The following is a 15,442-nucleotide window of genomic DNA, read 5'->3' as shown; positions in this document are numbered from 1 at the left end:
TTCCTTCAACGTCCTTCAGTCAGGTATCCTCGCTTTTTTCATATGAATTCTGCACTTTTCTTGCGAGATTTAATCCTGGATACTTTACCAGTTTTAGGACTATGATGAATGGGATCCTTACCCTTGGTGACATTCTCTGTGGTCAGGGCTGTGGTGGAGGTAGCTCCTGCTGCCTGACACTCATGTGGCACTTGCCCCCAACCCCATGCCACCCTCCTGAGGGTTCATGTAATTCTCCCAGGGGGACACCCGGTCCACAAACACTACATAATCCACGGTGTGTCACACCTGTCACCACATCTCCACCCGACTATGGGGACTGAACATTCCCCTAGACATGAGGAAACCGAGGCACAGAAAGATGTGGCAGCTTCCCAAGGTCACACAGTGAGTCACAGTGATGCTCTGACCCCCAATCCAGACCTGCCAGGCCCCAAAATGCTTGGTTCCCCCCCTCAACTCTTCCCACAGCCATTCAGGTCCCAGTAAGTTTGGCTGAGCCAACTCCGTGGAGCCGTGAGTAGAGGGTTGAACCCTGGTTCTTACAGTGATGCCCAAGGGAGCAGATGGTGGCCCACCCCCTCCCCCAACCCAGATGGCTGAGACTGTCGCACAAACAATGGACAGGCGCTCAATGAATGGGAGTTCTGTCATTACATCCGAGGAGCCCCACTGCATGCAGCTCAGCCCCCTGACCAGATGATCAGGTACCCTTTATCCACCCACCCCTTCCCCACACTCCCTCCTGTCCTCCAAGGTCAGCAGTCCCTGGATGGAGCATTACAGTTCACAGTGCAGTTGAATAGCCCCTCTGCGTAGACAAGGAGGCTGAGGCCCTGCGAGGGACCCAGTCTCACCCAAGTCCCACAATAGGACTTTGATTCAGCCCAGCAGGGGGAGGGGCTCGTTTCTGGGGCAGCAGGAGAACAAAAGTCTCCCTCCCACCCACCCCCAGTCCAGGTCCACAATGCACAAGGCTGGCCGCCTGCCCGCCACTCAGCCCACCCACTGGACTGCAGCAGAGGAGTCGGCTGCCAGCCAGGGTGGGATCCAAGGCGACCAAGACAAGAACCAGAGGTGCAGAGTGCCAACCACCCACAGGGCCGCCAGAGTGGCGCCTCCGTTACGCCCAGTTCAAGCCCTGAGGTTTTAGCTAATCCGCTAATCCCTGGAGGCCAGACCAGGCATGGCTGGGGCAGGCTGCTTCTCTGAGACTCAGAAACCCCTGGGCAGACGGTGGCGAGAGCCTCAGTGATGAGACCCCATACAGATGGTGGCAAGGGCCCAGTGATGAGACTCAGAGACCCCTGGACAGACAGTGGCAAGGGCCCAGTGATGAGACTCAGAGACCCCTGGACAGACAGTGGCAAGGGCCCAGTGATGAGACTCAGAGACCCCTGCACGAGACCCCTGGACAGACAGTGGCAAGGGCCCAGTGATGAGACAGAGCCTAGGCCCTTCCCCTGGCCTGTGCCCCTTCACTGAGTGCCCAAGGGAGTCAGTCTTTGAGCCTCACTTTCCTCATCTGCACCAGGAGATGCCTGTCCTCACCTTCTCCCTGCCAGAAGTGGCCTAAGGCCCCCAGGATGCCAGTGTGAAAGGCTCTTGCCGGCTGTGTGATAAGTGGGGTCCCCAGAGCCTAGCACAGAGCCTGTCATGCAAGAGCTGCCCCATAAATAGAAGTCGGGTGAGTGAACAGGAGGGCTCTTGACGGCACAGGAGACGGCACAGGTTCAGGTTCTAGGAATTGGAGCAAACAGTGACGTTTATTTGCAGCATAAGGCCCGCTGTGGATGGGCAGGGGGCTGACACAGCCTGCCCTCACCCAAGTCCCCAGGGGACACTCCTTGAGGGTCCTCACAGAGGCTAGGGTCAGGGTCACAAGCACACCAGCAGCATTCCCTGGACAAGACAATCTCAGGGTGACAATCTCATGGTGGCTCGTCCATAAATGGACAGGGAGAAAAGCAAGGGCTGAGAAGTGGGAGCCCTGGAGTCCAGCCAAGGCCCTCTCTGGGCCTCAGTTTCCCCATCTACACAATGGGCACACCACCTCCTACTCTATCGGCCTCACAATGGTGCCCACCAGCTGATACCCAGGACATTGGGCAGAGAGAGAGGGGGAAATAAAGAAAGAAATAAATAAACACCAACCCTATTAATCTTGGCCAGAGTTAGAAAGTGTAAAGTCGGCCAGCACAGTGGTTTGTATCTGTAATCCCAGCACTTTGGGAGACAGAGGCCGGCAGATCACTTGAGGCCAAGAGTTTGAGACCAGCCTGGCCAACATGGCAAAACCCTGTCTCTGCTAAAAACACAAAAAATTAGCTGGGCATGCTGGTGCACACCTGTAATCCCAGCTACTCGAAAGGCTATGGCAGAAGAATCGCTTGAACCCGAGAAGCAGAGGTTGCAGTGAGCTGAGATCACGCCATGGTACTCCTGCCCGAGTATCAGAGCGAGACTCCATCTCGAAAAAAAAAAAAGTATAAAGTCATCAAGACTTAGAACCTATCCCCACCACCATGTCCAGGCAAGCCATGATACCCACTGGCCCCCAAAACATTCTAGGAATGCCCTGGCCAAGCCAGCAAGTTGGGAAGTGACACAGGGTGGCAATCTCATGCAGAGCAAGGTAAAGAAATTTACCTGTAAGTACTTAAGCAGTGTTTCCTTTCTTTCTTTTTTTTAGATGGAGCCTCAATCTGTCGCCCAGGCTGGATGCAGTGGTGTGATCTCTTCTCACTGCAACCTCTGCCTCCTGGGTTCCAGCAATCCTCCCACCTCAGCCTCCCAAGTAGCTGGGATTACAAGCATGCACCAACACGCCTGGCTAATTTTTGTATTTTTTAGTGGAGACAGGGTTTCACCATGTTAGCCAGGCTGGTCTGGAATTCCTGACCTCAAGTGATCTGCCTGCCTCAGCCTCCCAAAGTGCTGGGATTACAGGCGTGAGCCACTGCTCCCAGCTGTTAAGGAGTGTTTCCATATTAAATTATATTATGGGGTAGAAGGCCAAAATCAGGCTAATCTACGTAAAAGAATCAGAGCCTTCTGCTGCACTCTTTTGGGCTATGTCTCCAGTGGACTCCCAGCTAGCTGCCTTCAGAGAGACTGAGATCAGACCCACACTGACCACCCTTCTCATCACCCTCCAAATACCTCTCCCTCGCCCTCATGAGCTGGGGGCCCTCAGCCAGTATCTGAGGCACCGAGTCCAGGTTCTGCCTTCGGTGTCCACACCAGGCAAAGCTAGCTCATTCCCCCTTTCCCGAGACCAGAGGTCGCTACAGGATCTGGTGATCACAAGAGCCCTGCCACATGCAGGCTGCTGGGCTGCAGGACATGAGCACTCCGGCACTGCCAGGGGGAAGCTGGGTAAGTGACACCTCAGCTCGACCACCTCCCAGCTATGTGACCACTCACCAGTCCCTATCCCTCGCAGGGCCTTGGTTCATGCAGGAAGGACTAGACCAACGCCTCGCCTTCCATTCAGGTGTGGATGCCTGAGTGGCCTGCTGGGCACTGTGTGGGGTCCTGAAGCCGGTGGAGCTAGCTCAGAGGTCGGCCGTGGGGCTCAGGCAGGCAGGGCAGTGCTATCGACCACAACCCCACCAGGAAGTCCAGGTCAGAGCTGACCATCAGTGCTGGGCACCAGGAGGTCACACTGGAGCTTGGGAGCTCATAGGCTGAGGTCTGACACCTGGGCTGGTGAGGGAGGAAGCATCAGAGCAGATCTCCCTCCACCAGCAACCCTTCATCCTTCAGAGAGAATGTGCCCGAATCCCCAAGCCCTGGCCTCACTTACAGGAACGTTCCTCATGGAAGGTGAGGACCCGGTGAGGGAGGCACAGCAGAGAGAAAGGGCATCTCTGAGGCTCTCCCCAAGAGGGACTGCCTTGGAACAGCCTGGGACAGGAATCCAGCACTCAGCCCTGGTCGCTTGCTGTGTGGCTGAGGGCAAGTCTCAACTTCTCTGAGCCTCCGTTTCCATCAATGTGACCAGACGCCATGGGAGCAAGGAGGGAGTGAGCTCTGGCCCTGCTAGGTTTGGAGCCAGTCCCTGGATCCACAGGGAAAGAGGGACAGAAAGAGAGGCAGCCTCCTGGGAACAACAGCAATAAGAAAGGACTTCCTGAGCAACTGTGACTGTGGAGCCTGCCAGCTGCCTAACCTCTGCTCCCCAGGAAGTCTGGGTTGTGCCTGCAGCCATTCTGCTCATCTCTTCATGTCCACAGAGACAGTGAGTTTGCATCCATCAACCACAAACATGGCTCTGAGGATGAGATCCTGCAAGGGGGATTGGGGGTGAGGCAAAGAGGAGCTCCCAGGTGTTTGGAGCTGAAAAGGCCAAAGGAATCGTGACCAACTCAGCATTCCACTGGCTATATGATCAAACAGCAAACTGTTTATCATGAATGCAGGATGTGGGCAAACTCACGACTGCGCCTACTGCCAGAAGGTTTGCTGAGGGCCCTGGCACCGTGCTCATTGAGGTTATCTACTGGGACATCTAGAACCTATTGTTTGAAGAATGCAGTCTTGCAAGCCTGCTGTAAATTAAGCCCCTGATCGACAACCACCCCCACTTCTCCCTATCTCCTTTACCCAATCAAATGCGAAGGGCTGTAAAGCTAAGAGCCCTTGTTCACTAGAAGCAAGGAGCCCCCTGACCCCTTCTTCCAAATACACTCTTTTGTCTTTATCTTTATTCCCACGTTTGTCATCCTTTGTTCGGTCCCCCAAGGTCCGTGCAGATGACATCCAGGAGTCGCCCCACCCCTCAGGGCCCTCCCAGGCCTCCACCTCCACCCCACAACTGTGATCTCTGCCTGGAAGTGCAGCTCCTGTGGGCCTGCTGCTGAGATCATTCCATTCCCATCACGTGCCTTTGGCCTGAAGCTCTGTCCCTGTCTGTGCTGCTCTCAGTCACTCACCCCTCAGTGGGGAGGAGTCCGGCAGGGCCTATGGCACAGGGACAGTGAGGGGAGGAGCTGGAGGGTGAGGGTGCCTCATGCAGCACTCACCTCTTTGAGTCCGAGCAGCAGGAGGCAGCGAACCATTGGGTCCACACAGCAGCAGCTCCACAAGGGTGCACATCTCCACCATCCACGGGCCCTCCTCCAACAGCACCATGGGGGTGCCCAAGTCAGCTTTAGCCCCAAGGTCACTGCTGGCAAGTTTGATAAGCACTGTGGGGTACCTGTGGCTGTCCTCAGCCCTGTGAGAGCCCAGAGGCCCCGCCACCAGCCCATGTCTTCTCCCCACCAGGGAATTAAGCTGCCAATCATTCATCCCATTTTATGAATGTGGAAACTGAGGCTCTAAGAGGTTTAGACGCTTCCTCAGGGTCACACCAGGAGTGAGTAGAGAAGCTGGGATTTGAACCCAAGTCAGTCAGTTCAAGTCTGGAGCCCACGTTCTGTGGAGCATCAGCTCAACCCTGAGACACTACCCGTTCTAGGGTCCTCCCCATCCTGACATCTCATGTTGAGAAAATGAGTCCTCATGTTAAGAAACGCTAATCTAATTCAAGGCCCACGTGGCAAACAGAGGCCCAGAGAGGAGCAAGGTCTTGCCTAAGGGTACCCAGCGTCTCTATGGTAGAAATGGGCATAAGTGCAAGCCTCCATGGGCCTTTTCTTCCTGTGATTCTACCACTGGGATAAAGATTCAGCAGCTCTGAAAACTGAACATGCCAGGCCCTGATAGTCAAACCCTGTCTCGGCGTCAATACTGAATTGTACCTGAGAGAGTTAGAGAAAATGCCACACTTTGAGACGAATTAAGAGTCCGTTTATTTAGCCGGCGGCCAAGAGACGGCTAATGCTCAAAATTCTCTCGGCCCCGAAGAAGGGGCTAGATTTTCTTTTATACTTTGGTTTAGAAAGGGGAGGGGGGTCTAGTTAAAACAATTTTACAGAAATAAAGTAGGCAAAAAAGTTAAAAGGATAAATGGTTACAGGAAAGTAAACAGTTCCAGGTGCAGAGGCTTTAAGATTATTACAAGGTGATAGACGCAGGGCTTTTTGGGCGTTATCAATCAGATGAATTCCTGGGAACTGCGGATATTGCTTGCCACAGTATTTTATCAGTTAATTGCATTCTTGAATGTGCTGGGAGTCAGCCTGCACAAGTTAAGTCCTTGAGGAAGGCGCTGCCAGTGAAAGAGCCAAGATGGAGTCTGTCTGGCTCTCTTAGCTAAGGGAGAGCCAATTCAGGTGGAAACAAGGCTGGGTGATTAAAGGAAAAGGGAGAGTCTAAAAATAGGGTTAGTAAAAACAAGGTTGCGCATTACACTAACAGTTTACACGGGAAGCCATGTTTGACTTCTCTATACACCCCAGGCCTGTGACACCAGGATCACAGTTTCACTCGCATCTATGTGAAGAGACCACCAAACAGGCTTTGTGTGAGCAACAAGGCGGTTTATTTCACCTGGGTGCAGGCGGGCTGAGTCTGAAAAGAGAGTCAGCGAAGGGAGATAGGGATGGAGCTGTTTATAAGATTTGGGTAGGTAGTGGAAAATTACAGTCAAAGGGGGTTGTTCTCTGGCTGGCAGGGGTGAGGTCACAAGGTACTCAGTGGGGGAGCTTTTGAGCCAGGATGAGCCAGGAGAAGGAATTTCACAAGGTAATGTCATCAGTTAAGGCAGGAACAGGCCATTTTCACTTCTTTTGTGATTCCTCAGTTACTTCAGGCCATCTGGATGTATACGTGCAAGTCACAGGGGATATGATGGCTTAGCTTGGGCTCAGAGGCCTGACACACAGTGCCCACCTTTGGGTGTGTGAGCATTCCAGCCTGGGGTTGGAGCTCAGCACAGGAGCCAGTGTGCCATTGAGCAAGTCACAGCTCCCATCTGAGCCTCAGTTTTCTAATCTATAAAGCAGAGCAGTCATTTTGCCTGACAGGGACCATTCTGAGGCTCAAATGGGACTGCAGCCATGAGGCTATGGAAAGAGGCACAAAGTTCTCAGCAAACATCAGAGGCACGTTGGCAGTCACCACTTCATGGCTACATCCCCCATGTCAATTTCTTGTCCTCAGGGGCCCACTCTGATGGTGTCACAGCTCTGTTTGTTCTCCCTAACTTGATGGAAGTCTTTCCAGAAAGGACGTAGCTCCTTCAGCCATGAAGAAGAGCTGTTAACCCCTTCACCTGCTGAGCCGTGGGACCATGTCCAGCCTACGCACCTGAGCTCTGCTCTTAGTTTTCCATGCTCTGCTGTCAGCATGCCCCTACCCTCAAAGCCTCCTGCACCTTCTTCCAGCTTCTTGTCTATAATAATGATAATAACAGCTCATAATTCTTGGGCATTAGGTACCCTCAGAGGATCAAGATAAAGACACAGGCTGTTTTAAAAGAAAAAACAGTGTGGTTAAAAACATCACCTAAAAAAAACGAAAAAAGAAAAACTGTCTCTGCAGCTAGGCTTCTTCCTGGGTTCAAATCCCAGTTTCACCACTAACCAGCTATGTGACCCTTTGACAAGAGACTTTACCTCCCCGTGCCTCGGTTTCCTTATCTAACTGATTGGAATAATATTAGTACCTACCTCTCAGAATTGTGAGGATTAAAAGTAAAATCTTTAGAACATATCAAGCCTTTTGAATAGTGCTTGGTACATAACAAGTGCTCCGTAAATGTTAGTCATTACTACTGCAGAGGCAGGATAGCCTGCTGGTTAGGGATGTAGCTTCCTCCTAACTGTGTGACCTTAGACCAATTACCCGACCTCTCTGAATCCCATGGGTGTGGGGGTTAAATGTAGTCTTGCCTTGCATAAAACAACTACTCAATAAAAAGTTGCTATTTTTCCATGCCAGGCACTGTGATGATCTCATTGAATACTCACAACATCTCATGGGGTAGGTAATATCATTGAACCCATTTTATAGATGAGAAAACTGAGGCTTAGAAAAAAGGGTCTAATACAGGACAGAATTTGAATTCAGATTCAGGCCATCTGGGTCCATGCCCTTAACAGTTATATTACATCACCGGCCTAATATGCTCTGAGCTTTGAAAAACCCGTATCCAAGGTGGTTAGAACTTGTGAACATATTGAGTAAATTGGCACCAAGAGAGGACTTAAAACACATCTCACCTACATCATGCATGAGGACCTGTGGAGCTCAGAGGCCACGATCCATGGCCCCAGCCGAAGTCTAGAAGCCTGAGGTTGCAGCAAGTGTGAGCTCCTGATGAGTGAGGAGTTGGTGGTTGGGCTGTGATTGCTGCATGGAGAATCTAGGAGCCGAAGCGCAGGGCCAGTCCCTCACCACCAACTCCTGCGTGCAGGGAGGGATCTGCGGGGGGACGTTGATCAGGACAAAGAACACAGCCAACAGGAAGGCCTGGAAATGCCCAGGGAGGGCGCATATCCTCGGAGCCGTGGCTGGGCCACTGTCAGAGGACCAAGCTGTGGTGCAATGGCTGTGTTCCTTGACATCAAGTGCAGAGCCACCTGGGGACGGGACATACCGAAGGCACATCAGGCACAGCAGGGGCTTCGGGCCCCCATCCCCCACTCATCTCTAGCCTGAGCCCTGCACCATGGCCCATGAAGACAGGCCATCCAGCCAGGGTGCCCTGGATGGTGTCCGGGATGCCAGGTGGGCACCAGCACTGAGGGCAAGAGTGGGTGGGAAGGGCACAGAGGGACGAGTCACCAGCCCATCCCACACCCAGACCCCCAGGGCCTCTCCTTGGACACCACTTAGCAGGTAAGGCCCAGAAAAAAGCAGGCAGGGTATGCCCCACTCCAGTCACAGCAACAGTCTGGCCAGCCATTCTGGTTTGCCCAGGACTGGGGGGTGCCCAGGATGTGGAACCTTACATTTGAAAACCAGGACAGTTCCAAGCAAACCAGGACAAGCTGGTCACCATCTACAACAGGAAATAGGGGCTCGTGAGACAGGCAGGCTGACTGGTTTCCTGGTTTTGATGTGGTTTAGAGAAAAAGTACAAAAACCCCTTATCAGACTGTAGCTCACCTGACTTCCAGCCAATCAGCAGCCAAAGACCCAGGAAACTATTCACCACGAGTTCCTGCTCTAGGGGGCTAGGGACTTCCCTGGGGCCCCGCATGTGCAGTTAGACTTAAACTTCAACTTACCCTCTTCCTCATTTTAATGCTGCAAATCGTGCCCAAGCACGGAGATTTAAAATGCTGATGTTACATGCAATGTTTGAAAAAGTGTGTTGAGCCACTGTGCAAGTGCTAGAGAAACCCCTCCTCCTATACATGCCCTGGCAAAATCCTTCCCTACAGAAAGTCCCTGGAAATCTGACCCCCACGCTCCCCTGGGGAAACCCTTCCCTATAGAAAGGCCCTGGAAATCTAACCCACACACTCCCCTGGAGGAACCCTGAAACCCCTCTCCATAGAAAGGCCCTAGAAATCTAACCCACACACTCCCCTGGGGAGCAGCCTGCCCTCTTCCTTTCATGTTGCTGACTTCCCTCGTGCACAAGCTAAATAAAGCTCTTTCTCTTTGCTGCTATGTCTGGTGATCGCTCTTGATTTCTATCCTGGCAGATTACAAGGACCCAGGGCGCCGATAACACTAGAACTCTGGGATGCCTGAGAGGAGAGAGAATCAGGATGAGAAGCAGTGCCTGAGAGAGCAGAGAAGTGGAGACGGAGAAAACACAAGGCCAAAGACAGGAGGCAATGAGACTGAAGCAGAAAGAGAATGGATGGAGAAACAGGAAGACAGAGTCACAGCTAGAGACACAGAGATGGGGGAAAGAGAGGCAGGAAGTGGAACAGGACAGGGAGATGGCGTTAATGGTGGAGAGCGTCCTGGTTCTTGGAATCTTGAACAAAGAATTGGACAAAATACACAAACAAAGCAAGGAAGGAGTGAAGGGATTTACTGAAAATCAAAGTACACTCCACAGTGAGGGAGCAGGCCCGAGCGTAGCGGCTCAAGTGCCCCGTTATAGAATTTTTGGGAGTTTAAATACCCTCCAGAGGATTCCACTGGTTACTTGGGGTACACCCTATGTAAATAGAGAGGATGAAGTAAAATTACAAAGTTATTTACTTGGCCTACACCCCACGGAGAGGATATTTCCTGTCCTAGCTGAAGTGGGAATTGGCCTTATGTTCCCTGCCTTCAGACCCTATTTTCCTGCCTCACTGGGGGCACTCCAAAGACCCTGTGGCTGCCTCCCTGTCCCAGCTGAGCCCTCAGCCCCTCACCTCCTGCTCTGGGCCTCCCACCTTGTCTCCCACCCCCATCCCATGCCCACGTTGGTTCACGGTTGAGCACAGAGGCCCCCACCTGCTGGTACCCCATCTAGGGAGACAGAGGTTCAGGGAGGGAAGGGCCTCATAGGGCTCCCACAGCACCTCAAAGGGGTAGCTGGAGCCTGCAGCCTGACCCACCCCATGCTGCCCATGGCACTGGGAGGAAGGGAAACCACCTCACGGCCCTTCCCCAGCAGCTGCTGTGTGCCAGGCGGCATGCCCAGGCATAACGGGCATGAGACAGGCAGTACTGTCACCCCAGTTTTGCAGATGAGGCTAGCAAGGAGCTGTCTCTGACCTGAGGTCACACAACCAGGACTCGAACCCAGGCTTGCTGGCCCCAGATCCTAAGCTCTTTCCCTAAGACTGACAAGAAAACCAGAGGGTGGAAAGGGGGCTTGGTGTCCCCTGGACCCTGCAGCTCAGCACTTTAGCCCCACCCAGACCAGGACAAGCCCACCGTGGAAGAGGGATCCCACGCCCAAGCCTCCCCAACCCAGCCTCAAGCCAGGGGCTCAGGAGGCCGGAGACAGGGCTGGGGTCTGAATGGCGGAGCCAGGATGGGGCTGAGACCTGGACCCGGCCCTGCCATTGATTTGTTGTGTGGCCCCTGCCTGGTCCCATTCCATCTCTGGGCCATTGCCCTGACCTGCAGTGTTGCTGTGAACTCTGTGGAAACGGGGGTAGGGTGCTAGGCCAGGCCACCAACACAAAGCACAGCTCTCTTCCCACCTGAGAACCGAGCGAGTGAGCAAGAGTTTTGCCTACATCCCTGGGCCCCTGGGTCTGCTCAGTTTCCCTACTTTCCAAAATATCCATGCCCCCAGACCACCTGATCCTCATCACCTCCTGCGCCTCAGTTTCCTCATCTGAATAATGGGCACTGCTCAGCCCATTGCAGTATTCTTCTCCTTCCTTGCAGTATTCTGGGGTACTGAGCACAGCCTCTGGGTGCCTCGAGCAGTTTCTGGGTCCTGGGATATTTCTCTTCCCACAGGCAGCACCACCAGCCGTGGCAAAGTAGGAGTGTGTCCCTGGTCATGGTGGCCTGCCGGGCACTCTCCAGTGTGCTCTATGACCCCTGGCCATGGCTCAGCCTCTCTGGGCTCAACAGGAATGAGTGGAATTGCAAAGGCCCCCTGGCTCACCAGGCAGGACAGCGGCTCCCAGATGCTTTTGGAGACCAGGATTTGGACATGCGTGGCCAGGAGGCTGCCGTGAGACAGGGCATAGGCTGAGTCAGCCGGCCGCCCCCTGCCTTCCCACTGCCTTCTGTGGGTGATAGGCAATGCCAGGCTTCTAGCCGACCTACCCCATGGACTGTCTGCAACTGGTGAGAACTTTCTGTGTGCCCAGGCACCTTCATGAGCCACCTTCCCTCCCCTAGCCCGATCCTATCTAAAGTCAGGGCTTATCAGAGGATAAAGTAGGCCAGGGGTGACCGGGTATTTGAGGGGATATCTAAGCAGAGCCTGAGGGAGAGGCATTCCATCTGGGGGAAGGCCTTCTCAGGCAGAGAACAGGGTCCTGTTCTCCAAACACAAAGGTCCTGATTGGCCCTGGGCTCATAGACCCCCTCCTCCAGGAAGCCGTCTTGGATTGCTTCTCCCACGTCTGCCCACTCTCCCGTGAGATTTGCCTGGCTGGCACAGAGAAGTGGGTATGCATTCAGGACAGCTAATCTGCTGGATAAGCTAACAAGAAGCTGCATCCATGCTGTAGAGGAATAATCCGTGTCCCAACAGGAAAGGGGGGGGTCTTCCTCACTCTAGTGTCCCCAGTGCCCCCCACACAGTAGATGCTTAACAAGAGTAGAGCACATGTGAAATTTGGAAGTGGCACCAGAAAATGAGGTCAAGGGTGGCTTCTTTCTGAGGACAAAGCTGTCCCCACACTCTCCTCAGTGCCCTCATGTCCCATGTCCCCGTCCTTGGGCTGCCAGCCTGTGGCCACGACCCCTCAGCCCAGCCGGGCCCGAGGAGACAGTTCTGCTCCACCGCAGAGGGATGGCTGTCCATTCCTTTGTCTGGTGGCAGCAGTACATTGTTAGGGGCAGGCAGGATGCCCTCATGCGTGTCTTCCTGCTCCTTTAAAGAGTAGCTGGGTGGCAGCTCTAGATCCTGGAGAAGGTTCAGCCCCCAAGGAGCAGCCATCGTGGGCGAGGCCTCCAAGAACTGCAGCATTGAGGCGTTTACTCATCACATGAAGAATGATGTGTATGAAGCGTCGATTTTGAGATTATGAGTTGTGCATGTGTGTGAGTATATAAGTGAGTGAATGAGTGTGAGTCTGAGTGTGCATGTGTGAGTGTAAGGGTATGCTTGGGTGTGTATGTGGGTGTGTGCACACATTCACATAAAAACAGAAAAGTCTCTGTACACAGACAGGGAGGGTTCCAGGGACGATAGAAATTTCATGATCAACTTGGCAGTCAGCCTGTTGGACAGCCTCCCACTCTGCAGCCCATTTCCTCCTGAACCCTATGTGGGGCCGGGTGCGGTGGCTCACGCCTATAATCCCAGCACTTTGGGAGACCGAGGCGGGTGGATCTGTTGAGGTCAGGAGTTCAAGACCAGCCTGGCCACCATGGTGAAACCCCATCTCTACCAAAAATACAAAAATTAGCCGGGCGTGGTGACATACACCTGTAGTCCCAGCTACTCAGGAGGCTGAGGCAGGAGAATCGCTTGAACCCAGGAGGCAGACGTTGCGGTGAGCCGAGATCACGCCATCACACTCCAGCCTGGGTGACGAGAGCAAGACTCCGTCTCAAAAAAAACCCCTATGTGGGATGCAGTCGCCTAGTTGGTTAAAACGGGCACCCCACAGACACCGGCAACTTACGGATGAACTCCAGTGAACTTTCTCACAACCATGCTGAAGTCTCCCGCCCAGAAGGAGCTGTAGCCTCATCACCAGCACATGAGACCTATGTGCCGCATGATGACTCACTGCATCTGTGCAACTGGGACCCCTCCTCTGTATGCTGTGATGCACCCCTTCCCCTCTCCATCACCCAGAAAGCCCCCCGTCACTTTCCCTCAGGGAGACCGTGCTTTGGAGAATACACCCAGCACCCTCCTTACTTGTGCCAAGTAATGAAGCTCCTATTGATCAAAACCCGAGTTCTCACAGTGAGTGGTTTGTGGCTCACCAGGCAAATGAACCCTGGTTTTTTTTTGGCGGGGGTAAGAAATCTAGAAGAAAAATGCACCAAAATGATCGCTGGGTGATGGAGTTCAGGTGGTTTTTATTGACTTTGATGCTTTTCTATGTCTTTCTAATTTTCTACACTCAGTCTGTGCTACTTTTAGAATCAGAAAAGAGCTAAATCCAAGTGGGGTTTACGCCATTGGTGCAAAAAGCAGAGAGCAGGTGCGAAGGGGCATGGGCACTCGAGGACGCACCAGGATGACTGGTGACCAGGAAGCAGGGCCTCAATCCAGCTTCCTCATGCCGGCTCCTGGGGGACGTTGGCTTCCATTTCCCCATCTGGGTTCTAAGCTCCTTCTGACTCTGGTGTTCTGGAATGATCTACCCGGCATCCCAGGTAGGGCCTGGGTGGGAGAGGCTGGGTGTGGGCAGTGGGACAGACATGGCTGCTCACTCGCTATTGGTGGAGCTCAACCCTGCCTGTCATGCTGGGGCCTGTGACGGCTGCATCTTGGGCACCTGCTGCCTGGAGGGATGGCCTGTGGGCTGTGGCACCTGAGGCAAATCTCCAGGGTTGGCTGAAGTCAGAGTAGGAGATGAGACTCAGACCTTACAATTCTTTAAGTGCCTACAATTCACCAGATCTACATCGTGTGAGAAACATAGTGAAAGCGTCACTGCAGCATGATCTTAGTTTTTTCAGAAAAGCCCCGCAACCTGCGAAATTAACCTGTGCTTGCTGCTGTGCTTGCAGAAGTGAAGGCTGGAAGCCAATAACCACGAACCAGCCACAGGATGAGCTGAACCGAGCAGTGCGGCCTTGACTGAACTCTTGCCTCATTACCCTGAGAAAATCTCCACCCAGGGGGAGCAATGCACCTTGCTAGGCACAAAAAGTGCTGGGTGCAAAAGACAAGACTGTGCAGGGTCCAGCCCCTCCTGGAAGAACCCACCTTTCTCCAGGAATCCCTGGCCCAGTCTCCACCTACCTGCCCTAAAAGCCCTTAAAATCCCCCTTTGCCCTATGCCTTAGGGAGAAGGTGGTTTGAACATGAGCTCCCCTTCCCCATTCCTTGATCAACGAATAAAGTTTGACTCTGCTTTGCCCAACCTGGTTTTGTCCTCGTGGCACAAACAGCACCGGGCAGGGAAAAGACACATTAGGGTCAACTGACCCCTTCAAGGGTGGGTCACAGAATGTTATTGTAATGGGGCTGGGTGCATTGAGGGGAGGTTTGAAGAGTCCCAGAGTCAGGGGATTGGGGACAGGTTGGCCTGTCCTGGTCCATGGTGTCCAGCCAGGTGTCCCCATGTCAGGATCTTGGGTCTCTAAAGGAAACCCTGAACCACCCTCCAGGTCAGGGTTATGCAGAAGCCTCTAAGAAAATCCCCCGAAGCCTGGTTGCTACCACCCCCATCTTCCCTGCTCCCCAGCCCCAGTGTCCTTCCCCCGTGTCCTTCCTCTGGGCAGAGGAGGGACCAGCCCTAGGCCTGGCCTTGGGCTTTTTCACCAGCTTATCCACACACCTCCCCACTTCCTGAGTTCTCCACCTGAGATGCTGCGCAGAGCAGGATGTAATGGAAGGATCGAGGGCTTTAGCTCAGAAAACCCTGGGTTCGAATCCTAGCTCTACCAGTTTCTAGCTGTGAAACCTTACTCCTCGCTGAGCCTCAGTTTGCCCTGCTGTAAAATGGGGCAAATGCCTAAGAAAACTGTTGTCCAGCTCAAGTGAGCTGATGGGCAGGAGAGGGTTTTGGAAATAGAGTCTGGACTGGTGAGGAGCATCTCGCTTATCCCGCTCAAGAGAGCCCACAGCTGCCCCAGGCCTTGCCTGTCCTGCCTTTCCTTTCCAATCCCAGCTGCGCCCCTGCCCGGGCCCACAACTCACTTTCCAAACCTGTACAGACTACACCAGGGCTCAGCGCTGGAGAGGCAGGACCCTGAGGTGCTGACAACCAGGACTGGGTGCATCAGCTGGGTACCTTGGGTAAATGAAGCTGATTTCTGGCATCAGCCAATGAGCCTT

The 15,442-nt window shown here is 53.5% G+C and overlaps 1 long non-coding RNA gene across 1 annotated transcript, besides 9 other annotated features; it reads left to right on the top strand.

The window, feature by feature from the left end:
• Positions 345–5,297: an enhancer, noted in NCBI's record as "VISTA enhancer hs2101". NCBI's record gives its function as "enhancer in: neural tube[4/5] | hindbrain (rhombencephalon)[5/5] | midbrain (mesencephalon)[5/5] | dorsal root ganglion[4/5] | forebrain[4/5] | eye[4/5] | trigeminal V (ganglion, cranial)[5/5] | cranial nerve[4/5] | facial mesenchyme[4/5]" and the evidence as "EXISTENCE:transgenic organism evidence [ECO:0001131][PMID:17130149]".
• Positions 858–1,358: an enhancer, noted in NCBI's record as "H3K4me1 hESC enhancer chr20:31567857-31568357 (GRCh37/hg19 assembly coordinates)". NCBI's record gives its function as "activates a minimal SCP1, AML or CMV promoter by ChIP-STARR-seq in naive H9 embryonic stem cells {active_cell/tissue: H9 hESC(naive)}" and the evidence as "EXISTENCE:reporter gene assay evidence [ECO:0000049][PMID:30033119]".
• Positions 1,359–1,859: an enhancer, noted in NCBI's record as "H3K4me1 hESC enhancer chr20:31567356-31567856 (GRCh37/hg19 assembly coordinates)". NCBI's record gives its function as "activates a minimal SCP1, AML or CMV promoter by ChIP-STARR-seq in naive and primed H9 embryonic stem cells {active_cell/tissue: H9 hESC(naive and primed)}" and the evidence as "EXISTENCE:reporter gene assay evidence [ECO:0000049][PMID:30033119]".
• Positions 2,804–3,430: an enhancer, noted in NCBI's record as "H3K27ac-H3K4me1 hESC enhancer chr20:31565785-31566411 (GRCh37/hg19 assembly coordinates)". NCBI's record gives its function as "activates a minimal SCP1, AML or CMV promoter by ChIP-STARR-seq in naive and primed H9 embryonic stem cells {active_cell/tissue: H9 hESC(naive and primed)}" and the evidence as "EXISTENCE:reporter gene assay evidence [ECO:0000049][PMID:30033119]".
• Positions 8,344–8,852: an enhancer, noted in NCBI's record as "H3K27ac-H3K4me1 hESC enhancer chr20:31560363-31560871 (GRCh37/hg19 assembly coordinates)". NCBI's record gives its function as "activates a minimal SCP1, AML or CMV promoter by ChIP-STARR-seq in primed H9 embryonic stem cells {active_cell/tissue: H9 hESC(primed)}" and the evidence as "EXISTENCE:reporter gene assay evidence [ECO:0000049][PMID:30033119]".
• Positions 8,689–8,818: an enhancer, noted in NCBI's record as "active region_17725". NCBI's record gives its function as "activates an Ori minimal core promoter by ATAC-STARR-seq in GM12878 lymphoblastoid cells {active_cell/tissue: GM12878}" and the evidence as "EXISTENCE:reporter gene assay evidence [ECO:0000049][PMID:35858748]".
• Positions 8,853–9,360: an enhancer, noted in NCBI's record as "H3K27ac-H3K4me1 hESC enhancer chr20:31559855-31560362 (GRCh37/hg19 assembly coordinates)". NCBI's record gives its function as "activates a minimal SCP1, AML or CMV promoter by ChIP-STARR-seq in primed H9 embryonic stem cells {active_cell/tissue: H9 hESC(primed)}" and the evidence as "EXISTENCE:reporter gene assay evidence [ECO:0000049][PMID:30033119]".
• Positions 10,004–10,955: an enhancer, noted in NCBI's record as "H3K4me1 hESC enhancer chr20:31558260-31559211 (GRCh37/hg19 assembly coordinates)". NCBI's record gives its function as "activates a minimal SCP1, AML or CMV promoter by ChIP-STARR-seq in primed H9 embryonic stem cells {active_cell/tissue: H9 hESC(primed)}" and the evidence as "EXISTENCE:reporter gene assay evidence [ECO:0000049][PMID:30033119]".
• Positions 10,956–11,908: an enhancer, noted in NCBI's record as "H3K4me1 hESC enhancer chr20:31557307-31558259 (GRCh37/hg19 assembly coordinates)". NCBI's record gives its function as "activates a minimal SCP1, AML or CMV promoter by ChIP-STARR-seq in primed H9 embryonic stem cells {active_cell/tissue: H9 hESC(primed)}" and the evidence as "EXISTENCE:reporter gene assay evidence [ECO:0000049][PMID:30033119]".
• On the top strand, positions 13,477–14,525 carry LOC124904887 (uncharacterized). Its single transcript, XR_007067565.1, has 2 exons — positions 13,477–13,812; positions 14,170–14,525. It is a non-coding gene; the product is annotated as an uncharacterized LOC124904887 (long non-coding RNA).
• Positions 14,526–15,442: the final 917 nt, after the last annotated feature.

The sequence above is a fragment of the Homo sapiens genome, chromosome 20, assembly GCF_000001405.40.
Source record: "Homo sapiens chromosome 20, GRCh38.p14 Primary Assembly".
In the NCBI taxonomy this organism is placed as follows: domain Eukaryota; kingdom Metazoa; phylum Chordata; class Mammalia; order Primates; family Hominidae; genus Homo; species Homo sapiens.
The sequence above is the reverse complement of the archived record's forward strand: the minus strand, read 5'-3'. Positions and strand labels throughout refer to the sequence as shown.